The sequence below is a fragment of the Homo sapiens genome, chromosome 3, assembly GCF_000001405.40.
Source record: "Homo sapiens chromosome 3, GRCh38.p14 Primary Assembly".
Taxonomy (NCBI): domain Eukaryota; kingdom Metazoa; phylum Chordata; class Mammalia; order Primates; family Hominidae; genus Homo; species Homo sapiens.
Genome location: NC_000003.12, coordinates 164,492,503 through 164,510,894, shown reverse-complemented (window position 1 = coordinate 164,510,894; position 18,392 = coordinate 164,492,503). Strand labels below are relative to the sequence as shown.

Below are 18,392 nucleotides of genomic sequence, written 5' to 3'. Positions count from 1 at the left end.
CATTTGGGTTTTTTCCTCTGTGAATTGCTTCTTCAATATCATTTCCATATTTTCCTATTGTGTTATTTGTCCCTGACTTATCAAATTATTTTTTCTTCTGTGCTTTGAAAGTTTCACTTGATATTTTAGGCCAAATTCTGATCTCAACGGTGATTATGTCTTCAATTCATTTACTAAATTGTTCATTTGGGAAGTTATATTTTTTATACATTCTAGCTCTAAAATAAATGTTTTCCATGTGTATACTGCACTTGAATATAATAACTTGCTTTTTATTGTTGTTATTCTGGTAGATACTTGTCAGCACCAACAGCTGTTTTCCTTGGTCTGTGTTATTTTTGCTTTAAGTGCTCTTCTTGTCTTGCTACTTGAAATCTTTGTTATTATATTTTTTAAAATTATTTTTTGGGCTTCTGGTCCAGTTGATGCAGCACCACCTAAACTGTGTGCATATGACATAAAAAGCATTTTCCACCTCTGCAAGCATGGGGATACAGTATTAGACAGGCTGCCATTCACCAACTGGCACACCAGGAGAAGTATATACCTGGGTCTCCTTACTCATAAGGTTTCAGGTTTGGGAAGGACCCAGGCGACTTATTCACATCCTCATTGTGTTAATATTTCATGTATGAATCAAATTATTTCAGAGAATTCAGCTTTTTCCAAGATAAGATGCACTTTAATACTGCTTGAGAGCTTTAGTCCAATCCACGATACCATGGAACCCCCATAGAGTCCTAGATAGAGGAATTGTGAAGTTCAGAGTAAAAGGGAAGAAACTGCATTCAGCTCTCAGTCTTCCAGAACCTTTTATGTTAGTATATTCTTTCCATGATTAAATATCTACTAATTTAGATTAGCTTATGGTTACTTAAACATAGTAAAATCTTCAAAATATCTCATCCAAAATTGCCTTCAGCATGTAAGTACAAAATGATAATAACTGATTTTAAAATAAATTACTAGTAAAGTTAAAACTGGTCAATGCTGTTTTGTCTTATTAAATGCAAATTCATTTTGATCCTCTTTTTCTCTAACTATTCACTGCTCTTACATTCTATCAATCGTAAAATTCATAAAGAAAAATAATGAAGTGATATGAATAAGAAATGAGATATTTATCTTTTTATATAACTTTCAAAAGTGAAAGCCCAATAATATTGAATTTCTCCTTAAAGTATAACTTGTCTTGAGGATTCACAAAATAGGGGAAATCCTGAGAGTGATGTTGTGTACTGTGTTTCATGCTAACAATAGACTGATTAGTAGTATAAGTGATCTAAACTTCCTAAATCTCAACAAATACTTACATTTAGAATGCTTTCTTTAATTTGCATTTATATTCTACAAGTTTTCCAAAATTTAGATGCCTAATGTCTTACCAAGAAATTTAAACAACATCTAATTTTACTCTTTCAGAAGTTATTTTAAATAGAAGATTGAAAATTGTACGTTTCCCTTTAAAAGTTTGGAGTGGAACTAATAATTCATATAAATAATTCACATTGAATTTATACCTATTTTAAGCTAGTAGTTTTCAAAATATTGATGCTATGCTTTAATAACAGATATTAATGATGTGTTAGTAGTTTTATGGTCAATTTTCTTATTATAGATAATGTACTTTATAATACACAGTTTCTATTTATGTTCATGGGTTGGTTGTCTTATGCTTTCTATGCATTGCATATTATGGGCTAATTGTTCCAAGCATCAAAGGTTTCCTACATAATACTGTAATGCAACTAAAGAATCTATTATTTAATAACATTGTAAGGAAAATAAAATGACCACTTTAGAAAATCAGATGCCATATTAAAGTTTTAATGATATTGCAAATAATAGCAAGATATAAAATTTGATACATTTTTATATCTGCCTAAAATAAATAAAATACAGCACTCTAAAACAATTTAAAGAATGTATAAAAGTATTCAAACAGGAAAATTAAATAATAGCAATAATATATAATAAATCATTAATTCAATAATATCAAATAATATCTAGGAAATATTTCTGACAAGTAGTGAAATTATAATTCAAAGACTTAAGTTTAGCTTTGCTTCTAGTGTATGAAAAATTGATTTAAAAACTTTTGAAAAACTATTTTGTACATCTTTGAAGCTTATTTTCTTTATTTGTCACATGGAGGAAAATAGGATTATCATAAAATAAATGAGATAATATATATGAAAGGGATTTTGAAACTCTTAGTAAGAGGTGGTACAAAAGTTAAGCATTGCTATAACCAAGGATTGCTACATTTTGACACATAAAAAACTCAGCAAATAATAAATGTTAATCCCAAATTTCTTATAAGTTTTACATTTTAGAGATAGTTATTAAGGGAATTTTCAGGCTTACTTTATATTTCTGAAAAAATGAGAGAAAACAGAAGAAAGAAGGGGACAAAGAAGGAAGAAGAAGAGGAAGGAAGGAAAAAAGGGGAAAAAACATAAAAAAGAAAATTAATCAAAATTAGAAAACCAAAGCTATCTATCTGACTTGTATTTCATGAAACAGATTTATGTACTGTTTACATGGAAAACAAAAATTTACTAAGCCATCAATTGATAATACAATTTATAAAACAAATATTTTAGCTTAATAATTTTTAATACAAATTCACAGTGTTTGTTTAAAAAGTTTCATTTTTTAACACTCATGTCAAAAAATGAATCTGAATCATGTGTAACTGTCTTGGCATCATGATGCTATTTGTGAGGAGAGTAGAGGAGTCCTTTGCTAGCTGTGTACTGTATTAGGTATGTTGACTCCTATTCTGGTTAATCCTTGTAATCACTCTCTGAATTACATATGATCCCCATTTCAGACATGAGATAACTGGTAAAACACATTCAAAATTACACATTACACATACTGGACCCTTAGCCAAGTATTACTAATTCAGAAGATATTTTTATTTCATTACACCATCTCCCTTCTTTATATGCTCATATTTTCTTAATAATTAGGTGAGAAAGTAAAGAGGAGGTAGACTAATCTGAATAATATTAGAAGTATAATTTAACAGGTACAAGATTAACATTATTTAGGCAATGTTTATGAAACTAATAAATTTAGAGAAAACATAATTAGCAAGATCAGCAGTCCCATTTCAACATAACCTTTCAGAAAATTTTCCAATGTTTGATCAAATGAAGCATGATTACTGTTAATTTGAATGTAGTTTTTTACACAAAAACCTTCCCTTGTTGATGATTAAATTCATAAGAAAGCCGCAATGTAAAATTTTGGCCATAGCAATTTGTTTTATTTGGAAATTGAAAATAACTACATTGAAATTATTACTTAATTTAAAAGAAATTCAAATGTTTTAATTGATTGATTAGGGTGTTCTGATGTTTTCACATAACAACTTTTTCAAACACCTCAGTTTATGGCAAATTATGATATATATATGAAATGCATGGTATTGGTGGATTAATGAGAATACAAAAATTTAAATATTTAATTCTGCTAAATACTATAAGATTGCTTCCCAGAAATGTTTAATATTTCACTTTTACCTTCAAGTGGCAGTTCTGTTGTGTATAATATTTGTGGAAACAAGCAAGCTTTCTTATCTGATATCTTTGATGTTGCCTGGCCAGAAGCTGGCTTTGTACCTGGGCTGTGCCTTCACCACAGGGGTAGAAGTTGTACTCAATCCCAATTTCCCTTGGGATTCATGGCCTTCTTTCCACAGCAACTCTGCAAAGATTGAGAAACCCTTTTCCCAGTTGTTGCCTTAAATTACTGTCATCTCATGTCAAGCATCTATGCCATAAAAAGGCATAATAACAGAAGGTGATATCTAGTGCATTCAGTTCAGCTTTGGATCAAGTTATTAGGAAGTTATCCACAAGTTATTAGGAAATAAGAAAAACAAGCACCTGCTACCCTTATGCCTCTGAGATTTAGCAAGCAACAAGCAATGTAGCTGCTGTTTACCCTGAGCCCAGGACACAGTAGTTTTATTTCAACCCTTATAAAATATTACTCCATTGCCTGCTTGCAATTAGAGTCCTAGAGGAAAATCTGATTATAATTTGACTGTTGTTTATTTTTAGGTGATCAGTTTTTCTTCTCCTTAAGATTTTACAACTATCTCCTTGTTTTATTTTTCTAAAATTCTATGACAACACAGAGATACACAGAATATTATTATATTATTTTGGTTCATGATTTTAAATTTTATAACACATCCAGGTGTGAATTTTCATCATCCGTCCTCCTTGATACTCTATGAAATATTCCAAACAAATATTTTTAATCATTTTTGTTTATTTAGGAAATTTTTGTTCATTATAGTTTCAACTAGTTTCTCATTTTGACTTTTTTTTTTCTCCTTCTGGTAATGCTATAATGTCTATTAGATATTAATGTAGCCACTCCAATACATTTTATTGATTGTATGTATATATCTTTTTTATTCTTTTACTTTCAATCTACCTTTATCGTTGAGTTTGAAGTGAGTTTCTTGTAAGCAAAATACATTTTTGATTTTGTTTAAAATCCACCCTTTGAATTTCTGTTTTCTGATTGATGTACTCATACCATTTACATTTAAGGTGATTATTGTTATGTTAATGTCTAATTCTGCCACCTTATTATGGGTTTTCTATTTCCTCTGATTCCCATCTCTCTGTTTTATTTGTTTTGTCTTCCTGCAGTTTATTTGAATATTTTTAGGATTTTTTTATTTATTTACAGTGGTTTGAGTGTACCTCTTTGTAGAATTTTTAATGTGGTGATGTGAGGTGTTACATGGCTTATGTATAATTTACAAACATGACTTATAGCATCCATTTGATTTTCCTTTTTGCCTTACATTTATACAATATTATCTTGCTTATTAGATGGTGGTAAACTTTTGCTTCTGTCATTGAATATGATGAACAAAACCCATGGAGAACAAGATAGTCTATTTCATGTACCATATTTCTATTCTTTTTATTCTTCTTTCCATTGTTTCTATTTGATAGTCCAAGATTCCTTATTTTATCATTTGCTTTCTATTTGAAAAATTTTCCTTAGCCAATGTTAAGAGGTTTTCTTCAAATAATTAGTTTTCCTTTACCTGAGAATTCCTATATTTTTCCTTAATTCCTAAAAGATAGTTTTACCCTGTACAGAATTCATGGTTAGAAGTTTTCACTGGATGTGGAAATTTGAAAGTGATAGGTATTATTGACAAGAGAATATTTCTAAAGTGGTCAGAACAAAGATCAGAGCAGAACTAAATGAGATTGAGATTAAAAAAAGATACAAAGGATGAATGAAATGAAAAGTTGGTTCTTTGAAAGGATGAACAAAATTGAAAGACTACTACCCAGACTAACCAAGAAAAAAAAGAGAGAAGATTCAAATAAGCACAATCAGAAATGATAAAGATGATATTACAACTGATACCATACCACATACCATACCATACCATACCATACCATACCATACCATACCATACCATAGCATATCATACCATACCATAGAAATGCAAAAGATCATCAGAATCCATTATGAACATATCTATATGCATAAACTAGAAAACCTAGAGGAAATGGATAAATTCCTGGGAACATATTAATGAAACCCCCCAAGATTGAACTAGGAGAAAATAGAAATCCTGAACAGACTAATAATGAGTAACAAAATTGAATTAGTAATACAAAATCTTCCAACAAAAAAACTCAGGACCAGACAAATTTACAGCCAAATTTTACCAGACACACAATGAAAAGCTGATAGAAATCTTACTGAAACTATTCCAAAAAAATTGAGGAGGAGAGATCTTTCTGTAACTCATTCTATGAATCCATTGTTACCTTGATACTAAAATTAAACAAAGACACACACACACACACACACACACACACACAATCTACAGTCCAATATTCCTGATGAGCATGGATGAAAAACACTCAACAAAATACTAGCAGACTTAACCCAACAGTACATCGAAAAGATAATTTATCACAATCAAGTAGGCTTTATTCCAGGGATGCAAGGATGGGTCAACATATGCAAATTAATAAACATAATTCACCAAATAAAGATAACTAAAAACAAAAGCCATATTCTCATCTCAACAGATGTAGATAAAGCTTTCTATGAAATCTAACATTCCTTCATGATAAAAACCCTCAACAAATTAGTCAACACAGAAACATATCTCAAAATGATAAGAGCCATATATGACAAACCCACAGCCAATGTCATAATGAATGAGAAAAAGTTGAAAGTGTTTTCCCTAATATCTGGAACAAGATAAGGATATCCATTCTCATCATTCCCATTCAACATAGTACTAGAAGTACTAACCAGAGAAACCAGGTAAAAAGAAATAAAAGACATCCAAACTGGAAAATAGGAAATCAAATTATCTCTGTTCACTGCTGACATGATCATATATGTAGAAAACCCGAAAGACTCCTCCAGAAAACTCCTAGATTGACAAATGACTTCCATGAAGTTCCAAGATACTAAACCTATGCGTAAAAATCAGTAGCGTTTCTATACACCAATAATGTTTAAGCTGAGTAACAAATTAAGAACTAAATCCCATTTACAATAGCCACAAGTAATAGAATACCTAGGAATACATTTAACAAAGGAAGTAAAAGATCTCTACATAGAAAGCTACAAAACACTGATGAAATAAACTGTAGAAGATACAAACAAATGGAGGAACATACTGTGCTGATTGATAGGAAGAATCAATATCATTAAAATGATCATATTACTGAAAGCAATCTAGAGACTCAATACAATTTTTATCAAATAACCAATGCTATTTTTTCACAGAATTAGAAAAAACAATCCCAAACTTTATCTGGAGAAATAAAAAGAGCTTGAATAGTCATAGCACTCTGAAACGAAAAGAACAAATCCAGGGATATCACACTCCCTGACTTGAAATTATACAAGGCTATAGTATCATATGCAAGACTCCAAGTTATTACAAGAATATAGTAACTAAAACAGCATGGTTGATATGGTTTGGATGTGTGTTCTTTCCAAATCTCATGTTGAAATGTGATCCAGAATGTTGGTAGTAGGACCTAGTGGGAAGTGAGTTCTCACCATGAGTTCATGTGAAAGCTGATTTTGTTTTTATTTTTATTTTTAAAGACACAGGCATTTCTTTTGCTCCTTCCCTTCCCATGTTATACACCTGCCCCTCTTCACTTTTCACTATGATTATAGGCTTCCTGACACACTCAGAAGAAGCAGATGCCAGTACCATGCTTCCTTTATGGCCTGCAGAACTCTGACCCAAAATAAACCACATTACTTTATAAATTAGGCAGTCTCAGGTATTTATTTGTAGCAACACAAGAAAAGGCTAATAGGATGGTACTCGTACAAAAATGGACACATACATAAATAAAACTGAATATAGAACTCAGAAATAAAAACACATACCTACAACCAACCTGATCTTTTATAAAGTAACTGAAAATAAACAACAAAGAAAGAATACCCTAATCAAGAAATAGTTCTGGGAATACTGAGTAACCATTTGTAACAGAATGAAATTGGACCCCTGTCTCTCACTATATGAAAATTAACTCAAGAAGGATTAAAGACCTAAAAGGAAAATGTGAAATTTCATTTGTCTGAGGATGAAAATCCTAGACTAAAACCTAGGGAAGACTATATTGGTCATTGGCCTATGCCACTTTATGATGACCTCAAAAGCAATTGCAACAAAAACAAAAATAAGTTAATGGGACTTAATTAATTGAAAAAGCTTCTGCACAGCAAAAGAATCAACAGTATAAACAGACAACCCACAGAATGGGAGAAAATATTTGCAAACTATGCCTCCAGAAAAGGATTAATATCCATAATCTACAGGGAACCCAATAATCCAGCATATAAACAGAACCAACTACAAAAACCACATGATTATCTCAATAGATGCAGAAAAGGCCTTTGACAAAATTCAACAACACTTCATGCTAAAAACTCTCAATAAATTATATATTGATGGGACGTATCTCAAAATAATAAGAGCTATCTATGACAAACCCACAGCCAATATCATACTGAATGGGAAAAAACTGGAAGCATTCCCTTTGAAAACTGGCACAAGACAGGGATGCCCTCTCTCACCACTCCTATTCAACATAGTGTTGGAAGTTCTGGCCAGGGCAATCAGGCAGGAGAAGGAAATAAAAGGTATTCAATTAGGAAAAGAGGAAGTCAAATTGTCCCTGTTTGCAGATGACATGATTGTATATCTAGAAAACCCCATCATCTCAGCCCAAAATCTCCTTAAGCTGATAATCAACTTCAGCAAAGTCTCAGGATACAAAATCAATGTGCAAAAATCACAAGCATTCTTATACACCAATAACAGACAAACAGACAGCCAAATCATGAGTGAACTCCCATTCACAATTGCTTCAAAGAGAATAAAATACCTAGGAATCCAACTTACAAGGGATGTGAAGGACCTCTTCAAGGAGAACTACAAACCACTGCTCAAGGAAATAAAAGAGGATACAAACAAATGGAAGAACATTCCATGCTCATGGGTAGGAAGAATCAATATCGTGAAAATGGCCATACTGCCTAAGGTAATTTATAGATTCAATGCCATCCCCATCAAGCTACCAATGCCTTTCTTCACAGAATTGGAAAAAACTACTTTAAAGTTCATATGGAACCAAAAAGAGCCCACATTGCCAAGTCAATCCTAAGCCAAAAGAACAAAGCTGGAGGCATCACGCTACCTGACTTCAAACCATACTACAAGGCTACAGTAACCAAAACAGCATGATACTGGTACCAAAACAGAGATATAGACCAATGGAACAGAACAGAGCCCTCAGAAATAATGCCACATATCTACAACTATCTGATCATTGAGAAACCTGACAAAAACAAGAAATGGGGAAAGGATTCCCTTTTTAATAAATGGTGCTGGGAAAACTGGCTAGCCATATGTAGAAAGATGAAACTGGATCCTTCCCTTACACCTTATACAAAAATTAATTCAAGATGAATTAAAGACTTAAATGTTATACCTAAAACCATAAAAACCCTAGAAGAAAACCTAGGCAATACCATTCAGGACATAGGCATGGGCAAGTACTTCATGTCTAAAACACCAAAAGCAATGGCAACAAAAGCCAAAATTGACAAATGGGAACTAATTAAACTAAAGAGCTTCTGCACAGCAAAAGAAACTACCATCAGAGTGAACAGGCAACCTACAGAATGGGAGAAAATGTTTGCAATCTACTCATCTGACAAAGGGCTAATATCCAGAATCTACAATGAACTCAAACAAATTTACGAGAAAAAAGCAAACAACCTCATCAACAAGCGGGCAAAGGATATGAACAGACACTTCTCAAATGAAGACATTTATGCAGCCAAAAGACACATGAGAAAATGCTCATCATCACTGGCCATCAGAGAAATGCAAATCAAAAACACAATGAGATACCATGATACACCAGTCAGAATGGCGATCATTAAAAAGTCAGGTAACAACAGGTGCTGGAGAGGATGTGGAGAAATAGGAACACTTTTATACTGTTGGTGGGACTAAAAACTAGTTCAACCATTGTGGAAGTCAGTGTGGTGATTCCTCAGGGATCTAGAACTAGAAATACCATTTGACCCAGCAATCCCATTACTGGGTATATACCCAAAGGATTATAAATCATGCTGCTATAAAGACACATGCACACGTATGTTTATTGCAGCACTATTCACAGTAGCAAAGACTTGGAACCAAGCCAAATATACAACGATAGACTGGATTAAGAAAATGTGGCACATATACACCATGGAATACTATGCAGTCATAAAAAAGGATGAGTTAATGTCCTTTGTAGGGATATGGATGAAGCTGGAAACCATCATTCTCAGCAAACTATCCCAAGGACAAAAAAACAAACACCGCATGTTCTCGCTCACAGGTGGGAATTGAACAATGAGAACACATGGACACAGAAAGGGGAACATCACACACTGGAGCCTGTTGTGGGGTGGGGGGAGGCGGGAGGGATAGTGTTAGGAGATACACTTAATGTTAAATGACAAGTTAATGGGTGCAGCACACCAACATGGCACATGTATACATATGTAACAAACCTGCATGTTGTGCACATGTACCCTAAAACTTAAAGTATGATTGAAAAAAGGAAAAAAAGAAAAAACAAACAACCCCATTAAAAACTGGGCAAAAGACATAAACAGACATTTCTCAAAAGAAGAAATACAAATGGCCAACAAATATATGATAAAAATGCTCAACATCACTAATCATCAGAGAAATGAAAATTAAAATCACAAGGAGATATCATTTTATACCAGACAGGATGACTATTTTATTATTATATGTATTATTGAGACAGGGTATAACTCTGTTGCCCATGCTGGAGTGCAATGGGATGATCATGGCTCACTGCAGCCTCCCAGGTTCAAGTGATCCTCCCACCTAAGCCTCTCAAGTAGCTAGAACTACAGGTGTGTACAACCATGCCCAGCTAATTTTGTATATTTTTCTTTTGTAGAAGCAGATTCTCACTGTGTTCTCCAGGCTGGTCTCGAGCTCCAGGGCTCAAGGATTCTCCTGCCTTGACCTCCCAAAGTGTTGGGATTACAGGTTTCAGCCACTGCAACCAGCCCAGATGGCTTTTAATAGAAAGTTAAAAAACAGCAGGTGTTGGTGTGAAAGCAGAGAAAAGGACATGCTTATACAAGTTGGTGGATGTGTAAATTAGTTCAACCTCTATGGAAAACAGTATAGAGATATCTCAAAGAAGTAAAAATAGAACTACCATTTGACCCAGCAATCCCACTACTGGATATCTACCTAAAGGAAAGGAAATCATTATATTTAAGATACCTGCATTCATATGTTTATCACAGCATTATTCACAATTGCAAATTTCTCATGGAATCAACTTAGTATCCACAAAAGGCTGACTGTCTAAAGAAAATATTGTATATATACACTATGGAATACTATGCAGCCATAAAAGTGAATAAAATCATTTTCTTTGCAGCAACGTGGATGGAGCTGGAGGCCATTATCCTACATGAACTAACTCAGAAGCAGAAAATAAAATATCGTATGTTCTCACTTACAAGTGGAAGCTAAACAAGGAGTACGCATGTACATAAAATGAAGATAATGAACATTGGTGGCTCCACAAAGGGAGAGGGTGGGGGAGGGGGAGGGTTGACAAATTACATATTGAGTATAATGTTAGATATTTTAGTTATGGGTCTACTAGAAGCCCAATCCTCACCATTATGCATGTAATATCAGTGTAACAAATCATTACATGTACTCCCTAAATCCAAAATAATATTTTGAAAAATAATAAAAACAAAGTAATCATACCAAAAGCCTGATTGGTTTGGGCTCAAGGGAGAATGAGAAAAAGGCTTCTGGATTTCTCGAGGATAACAAGGTTAAACCAGAGTATTCCAGCATGTCTTCCCAACATACACACAGACACACAGACACACACACACACACACACACACACACACACACACATACATGCATCAATGAGGAAAACTAACAATATAATTTATGATCTGTAATTAATGATATCATACAGCATAAATAAAAACAAAAGATATAACAAACTTTAACTTAATGGGGAAATCTATTTCTGAAACTGGAAGAACCATCTACCATCCCAGAGCATAGAACTGAGAGAAATCCAGGCAGAAAACAGGAAAGACCTCTCCTAAGTAGAACATAGGTGAATATGGATTGTGTTTTTTTTTTCTGTGGCCAGAGAAACATGTTTACTTTGTAACTCCTGGTTGTACATTACCTAAGCAGTGCTGTTACATAAATCACCTTCACATATCCATGCTATTGCTGAGACTGAAAACATTAGTCTTTAAAAAAAACTGATTTCTGTTGTTATTACTCAAACTTAGTTGTTGATTACCACAAACAAATTAAAAACATAACATATTTATTGAGTCTATCTTATGGGAAAACAGATGAATGTTTTAGCCTAAATTAAATTTCTGTTATGATAGTCTCACATTTCTATGCAAAAATTATAATTCCCAATTATGTAACTCATAATGACAATTTAACATAGTTTGACAATTATGTTATACAACTTGAAATACTTAGAAAAACATTGCATAAGTATATGTGTAATCTGAGAATATGTTTCTAAGTAACATGTTAAGTAATATAATAATTATTCCAGAGGAAATTAAGTTATTGTTTCATTAGCCTGCTAAGATATTGAGATTTCATTCATGTATAGTTTATGGTCAATCTTCCATGATAATATTCAATTTAGGGAATGAGAAAGAGCAACAAATTTTTTTTAAAAAAAACTAAAACTATAAATACATGCAGTATAGGTAAAAGAAAAAAAAAATAGCTCTTTCATCATATAGAAAAGGAAACCAGTACTTTATATCTCTTATTTAACTTATATAATTAGAGTTGTACATTAAAAGAAAATGTTCTTCAAAAAAATAAACATTAGCAAAAACAAGTCATATGTTGCCAATTAAGTGAAATACCAAACCAACAACTAGAGACAGAGTAAAATGAGAAAAACAAAAAACAACAAACCTGAATTTGGAACTGCAAGTCTAAATTAGTGTCCCAGATCTATGCTCTTGGTAGAAAATTACATTTTCTTGTTACTAAACAGGGTTTGTAATAATAAGGTTAATAAATTATTAACATAGGGCACTTTAAAAAGTATAAAATTCAAAATATATATCACATAATGATTTTATGCATAATAATAAACATGATTTTTATGCATCAAATGCACCAGAAGTAAGACATACAAGAAGATGCATATGACACAAAGCTGTATAGTATTTGCATACCCAGTCCTTATTAAGTGTAAAATTTAGCTATATTTATTGATGTATTATAAGCTCTGAGTAATATTAATATATTACAATTGATGTTAATAATAACTATTTCTTGATTTTTTTCTCAGAAATAAAATTGTCACTGAGCTCCAGTAAAACACAAAAGACCTTAGATGGGCCTTGCTACGTGGTAGCGAAGACACTACGCAGTGTGGTGACTTCATCTTTAGTTGGAACTCCATTAATAAGGCTCACGAATTTCAGCATTTCAGTGATATTCCCACCCCAAGAAAGGGAATGATCATAGGTAATAAAAAAGGCTTAGAGATGTGTTCTAGAAAGTGAAATTTAGGTGGGTTGTGTATATATTACTGAAATATTGTTAAAAAGGAGGGAAAAAGACAAATATATTTCCAAAATTTTGCACAAATGTTCTTTGGGCAGGGTAAGGTGACAGAGTAAGTTTAGCTGTGAAATAAATGATGCAGATGCCTTTAATACAAATAGTTTCTCCTTTTTGAGACCATCACCATTTATATTACATGCCCTCTAACTCTTAACTATATATTTCTTTCTTTTACAGAATCTAATGTCTTCCAGATTCTCTTAAAAAAAGTTAAATTTCATTTGTCTAAGGATTAGTCTTGATTTGATTGCATGAGATCGCTCCACATCCATCCTCCACATAACAAATTATTTGTCTGTCAATATGTTCTTGACCGTGGTTCTTTTTCTTTGGAAAAAAAACTTATTTATTTATTTATGTTATTATTAAAGATAAAAGGCATAATGTTTCTATGTTAACTCTTATGCTTATTTTTGTTAAAGAATAATAAAAAATGTCAAGTGTAAAGACGAACAGGAGAATTTTTGTTTTGTTTTGTTTGTTACTATTTTAATATGGAGAAAGCCTTAAAGAAGGTAGAAATCATTCTGGGTTTGAACAGAGAAAAAGTTTGCTGTTTAAGGCAAGAATAAGCAATGAAAAAGCTACAGAAATGGTAGTTTCAAAATAAGTAATTTTCAAAGATTTCAACATCGTTTAAAGAGTTACACAGATTTTTGCTGTGCAGAAGCTCTTTAGTTTAATTAGTTCCCATTTGTCAATTTTGGCTTTTGTTGCCGTTGCTTTTGGTGTTTTAGTCATGAAGTCCTTGCCCATGCCTATGTCCTGAATGATATTGCCTAGGTTTTCTTCTAGGGTTTTTTTATGGTTTTAGGTCTAACATTTAAGTCTTTAATCCATCTTGAATTAATTTTTGTATAAGGTGTAAGGGAAGGATCCAGTTTCAGCTTTCTACATATGGCTAGCCAGTTTTCCCAGCACCATTTATTAAATAGGGAATCCTTTCCCCATTTCTTGTTTTTGTCAGGTTTGTCAAAGATCAGATGGCTGTAGATGTGTGGTATTACTTCTGAGGACTCTGTTCTGTTCCATTGGTCTATATCTCTGTTTTGGTGCCAGTACCAAGTTGTTTTGGTTACTGTAGCCTTGTAGTATAGTTTGAAGTCAGGTAGCGTGATGCCTCCAGTTTTGTTCTTTTGGCTTAGGATTGACTTGGCAATGCGGACTCTTTTGTTGGTGGGACTGTAAACTAGTTCAACCACTGTGGGAGACAGTGTGGCGATTCCTCAAGGATCCAGAACTAGAAATGCCATTTGACCCAGCCATCCCATTACTGGGTATATACCCAAAGGATTATAAATCATGCTGCTATAAAGACACATGCACACGTATGTTTATTGCGGCACTATTCACAATAGCAAAGACTTGGAACCAACCCGAATGTCCATCAACGATAGACTGGATTAAGCAAATGTGGCACATACACACCATGGAATACTATGCAGCCATAAAAAAGATGAGTTAATGTCCTTTGTAGGGATATGGATGAAGCTGGAAACCATCATTCTCAGCAAACTATCCCAAGGACAAAAAAACAAACACCGCATGTTCTCACTCATAGGTGGGAATTGAACAATGAGAACACTTGGACATAGGAAGGGGAACACCACACACTGGGAACTGTTGTGGGGTGGGGGCGGGGGGAGGGATAGCATTAGGAGATATGCCTAATGTAAATGACAAGTTAACGGGTGCAGCACACCAACATGGCATATGTATACATATGTAGCAAACCTGCACATTGTGCACATGTACCCTAGAAATTAAAGTATAATAAAATAAATAAATAAATAGGTACAGTGAAAAAAAAATAGTTACACAGATTTACTGTCACCTGGGTGGGAACAAAGAGAAGTTTCATGAATAGGTACAAACCTCAAAGCTCATGATTGATGAGATGTTTTTTTCCCATTTAACAGGATTGAATGTATTACAAAAGAATCTATTCCTAGAAGATTCATTAGTCCAGGTATCAAGGTATATAGGATAGTGGTTCTCAAACTCTACTGCACATAAAGTAGCCCAGTGGTCTTGTTTAAAAAGACACAGTTCCTTTTCTTCATTCTTAGACTGAATCATAGATGGAGAAAAGTAGCTAGGGTGATTCTGATATGTAGTCTATAGACCCCCCCACGTTCAAAAACAACGTTCCTGGACAGTGTTTAACGATGACTGTGTGGAGAGCAACTAGTTCTACATGTGCACTGAGAACAATCACTTGAACATTCACTCTGCAACATGTATCATTAATGACAAATAACATTTTTCCTGGATGTAATATCTTGTTAAATCCTCACAACCATCATGTGATAGGACATTTTCTTTACCACCATTTTCCAGCTGAGGAAACTGAAACTCATACAATTGGATAATATAGCCTTATTCACATTTATTCAATAAATATTAAGTGTCTCTAAGGTGCCTGGTGCTCTGGAAGATGGTTGGCAAACTTGTGGTGAACAAGAACAACTAAAGCCCTTGTTCCTATGATGGGAAGTAGTAGTAGAGAGAAAAAATAAAGTATGAACAAATAAATGCAAGTGTGAGACAATTTCAATGGATTGTAGAAAATAGAAAAAGATTATATAATATAAACTTGGTAGTCAGATTAGGACCTGAGAAGCAATTTTTTTGTGTGTACATGTGTGTGTCTGTGTGTGTCTCTATGACATGAATAACACGGAGGAGCCCAGCCATGAAAAGTACAGACTCCTTTCAGGAACAGCAAACAGCAAGGGTAAAAGGCTCAAGCCATTTATGTTAAAAGGCACAGTTGTAAAACTTTGAGCTGATTTTCTATTTAATAGCTGACTATATTTGATCATTTCTAAAAAAGGCATGTACACCTGGAAGGATGTGTCTTGTGCTTCTATTAAAACAGGGCTCTCATACGAATTGTCAAGTAACACAAAGATATTTTCTCTTTGCAAGATGAAAAGAGTGCTTTTTAGTCAGATAAGAGTGAGACTGTATGTCATTCATTTTAATAGCTAGAATCAAATGTATGTGGCTTAACAATTACTCATTTGCGCAATACTTTAAGTTATTGGAGTTATGAAAAAAGAGAAAAAAGTCAAGGCTGTGAGCATTGAGAGGCTGAGTAGTTGAACAACTAAGTAGTTCTGGGAAAATAGCTTTAGCTCGTGAAAAATAATAGGAAAAATTACAAGTCTTTTGAACTCAGGACCTCTGACGAAGTGCTCGCCTAAACTGTATGTCACCAAATAAAACACCTGTGTACATTTGTATGGCTCTGGAAACTGTGAAAGCCTTGATATATGAAGAATACCTTTATAAAAAGAAATGAGTTGACTATTACATTATAAACTTGAGTTAAAATAAAGATTATAATTCACTTATTATGTGACCAGAATGTGTTTGTTCAAACGTTTTTTGAATGTAGACCTTAACTGATAACTAGATATTGCTTAGGAGTAAATAGACTTTTCTAAGATTTTTGTCCTATCTTGTATGTACTAATATGTAAAACTAGTCAATTTGAAGGGAGGAAATATTTACTGCTACTTTGGAAAATGTGAAACAACTCCAAAATTGACTTTGAGTTTTGTGGATTCTGAATGTTTCTAGTTGAAGACTTAAGAAAATAAAAAATGCTCTGATGTTAATAGGTCATGATTTTGCTATGATTGGAATGACTTTAATTAATCTACAAGTTTTGTCTAAATTTATAACAGCTTGTCTTCTCATTAAAATGTGAAAAAATATGAGCATCATATTTTCAAAATGAAAAGTGATCTGGGTCCTAAAAAACACATGTAGTATCCTGTTTTGAAATAGAGAAATATATGCAGCACGAATGTCAAAAGCTGCAAAGTGTTCACGGTCTATTGTTCTACCCAATTTTACTCCAAGACCCCCAGTATTGTAAACTGATCATTTAATGCTCACCTGCAGGCTCAAAGCTTAATCTGATTACTATCAAGAGATGACATAAATCAAAGTAATTGAAGGCTGAGCCTTCTGCCCTGCTGCCTATTAGTACATGTACTTCTTTTAATTTTGTGTCTTATTCTTCATAAGAAAATCATCAACTTCTATTACTGTTACAATCGCTGAGAACTTTTTCTATCCAGTTACTAGTTTCCTTTTTGGTCCCCCCTTAATTCCATCTCATTTTCTGGCCTGGAGTTCTGCCCTGGACCCTGGTTCCCAATGCAGCCTTATCCTACTTTTTGCCACATCTACTGATCATCCTCCTGCTATTATCCAAGTTTCTTCACCCTCCTACCAATATACTGGGGCCCTGCCCACTTTTGAATAACCTGACACAGAGACAAATTTCCACCTCTACGTTTCTTTTCTCTACCAAGAAAGTGCTTAATAAATGTGATTACATAAAATAATCATAGGAAGAATTAAATAAACCTTTATTATTGGGGCACACATCCCAAGTCTATTGAAATAGAAATCAACCCACATCGCATAAATCAATATTTTGTAACCTCCAGAGGTGATGTCTATATTGCAAAGATTAGCAAACCTGAATATATTTTAGAATTGCCTGAGGGCCTTAAAAATATATTTCTGGAACTCCAGTCCAGATATATTTAATCAGAATCTTGGGAATGGATGCAGGTCTAGGTAGAATTTCTAAGCTTACTAAGTGATTTTAACATGTAATAGAAGTTGAAAAGCTCTGTATTATAACCAACTTGTTTGAGACTCAGTGTTCCAAAACTCCTTCAGTCGTCTGTAGATGCTACTAGATGCTCACTATATTCTCCTCTGGCCTGCCTTATATGTGATGCTTATCTACAATTTTAGTCATTCCCTCATTACATATTTTTAGTGCTGAAAGGTGGCAAGTATAATATCAGGCTCTACTGCCTAACCAATCTTGATCGATTTCTATAGACTCAGCTGTGATTGTTCTGGGAAGAACAAAAATGTATCATTAAAAGTTACAGGGAGGCATTTATAAAATAATAAGTTCCTGAGATCGTATAGTCAGGGGGTAGCTTTCTTGTGTGACAGCAGTGTTATGATTTCTGTATCTTAAGCAAAGCAAATATTTTGCAGTATAAAGCCTAAAAGTTGTGTACATTGGCAAAAAGAAAGAAAAAAAACAATGGCCACAACATGAGAAAGAAAGAGAAGAGAGAACCAGCAGAAAGAGAATTTT

The 18,392-nt window shown here is 33.4% G+C and overlaps 1 long non-coding RNA gene across 6 annotated transcripts in view; it reads right to left on the bottom strand.

Moving 5' to 3' along the window:
• LOC105374191 (uncharacterized) overlaps nt 1-18,392 on the bottom strand; it is a 237,185-nt gene that overhangs the window by 176,977 nt on the left and 41,816 nt on the right. The gene's annotated exons all lie outside the window — the stretch shown is intronic.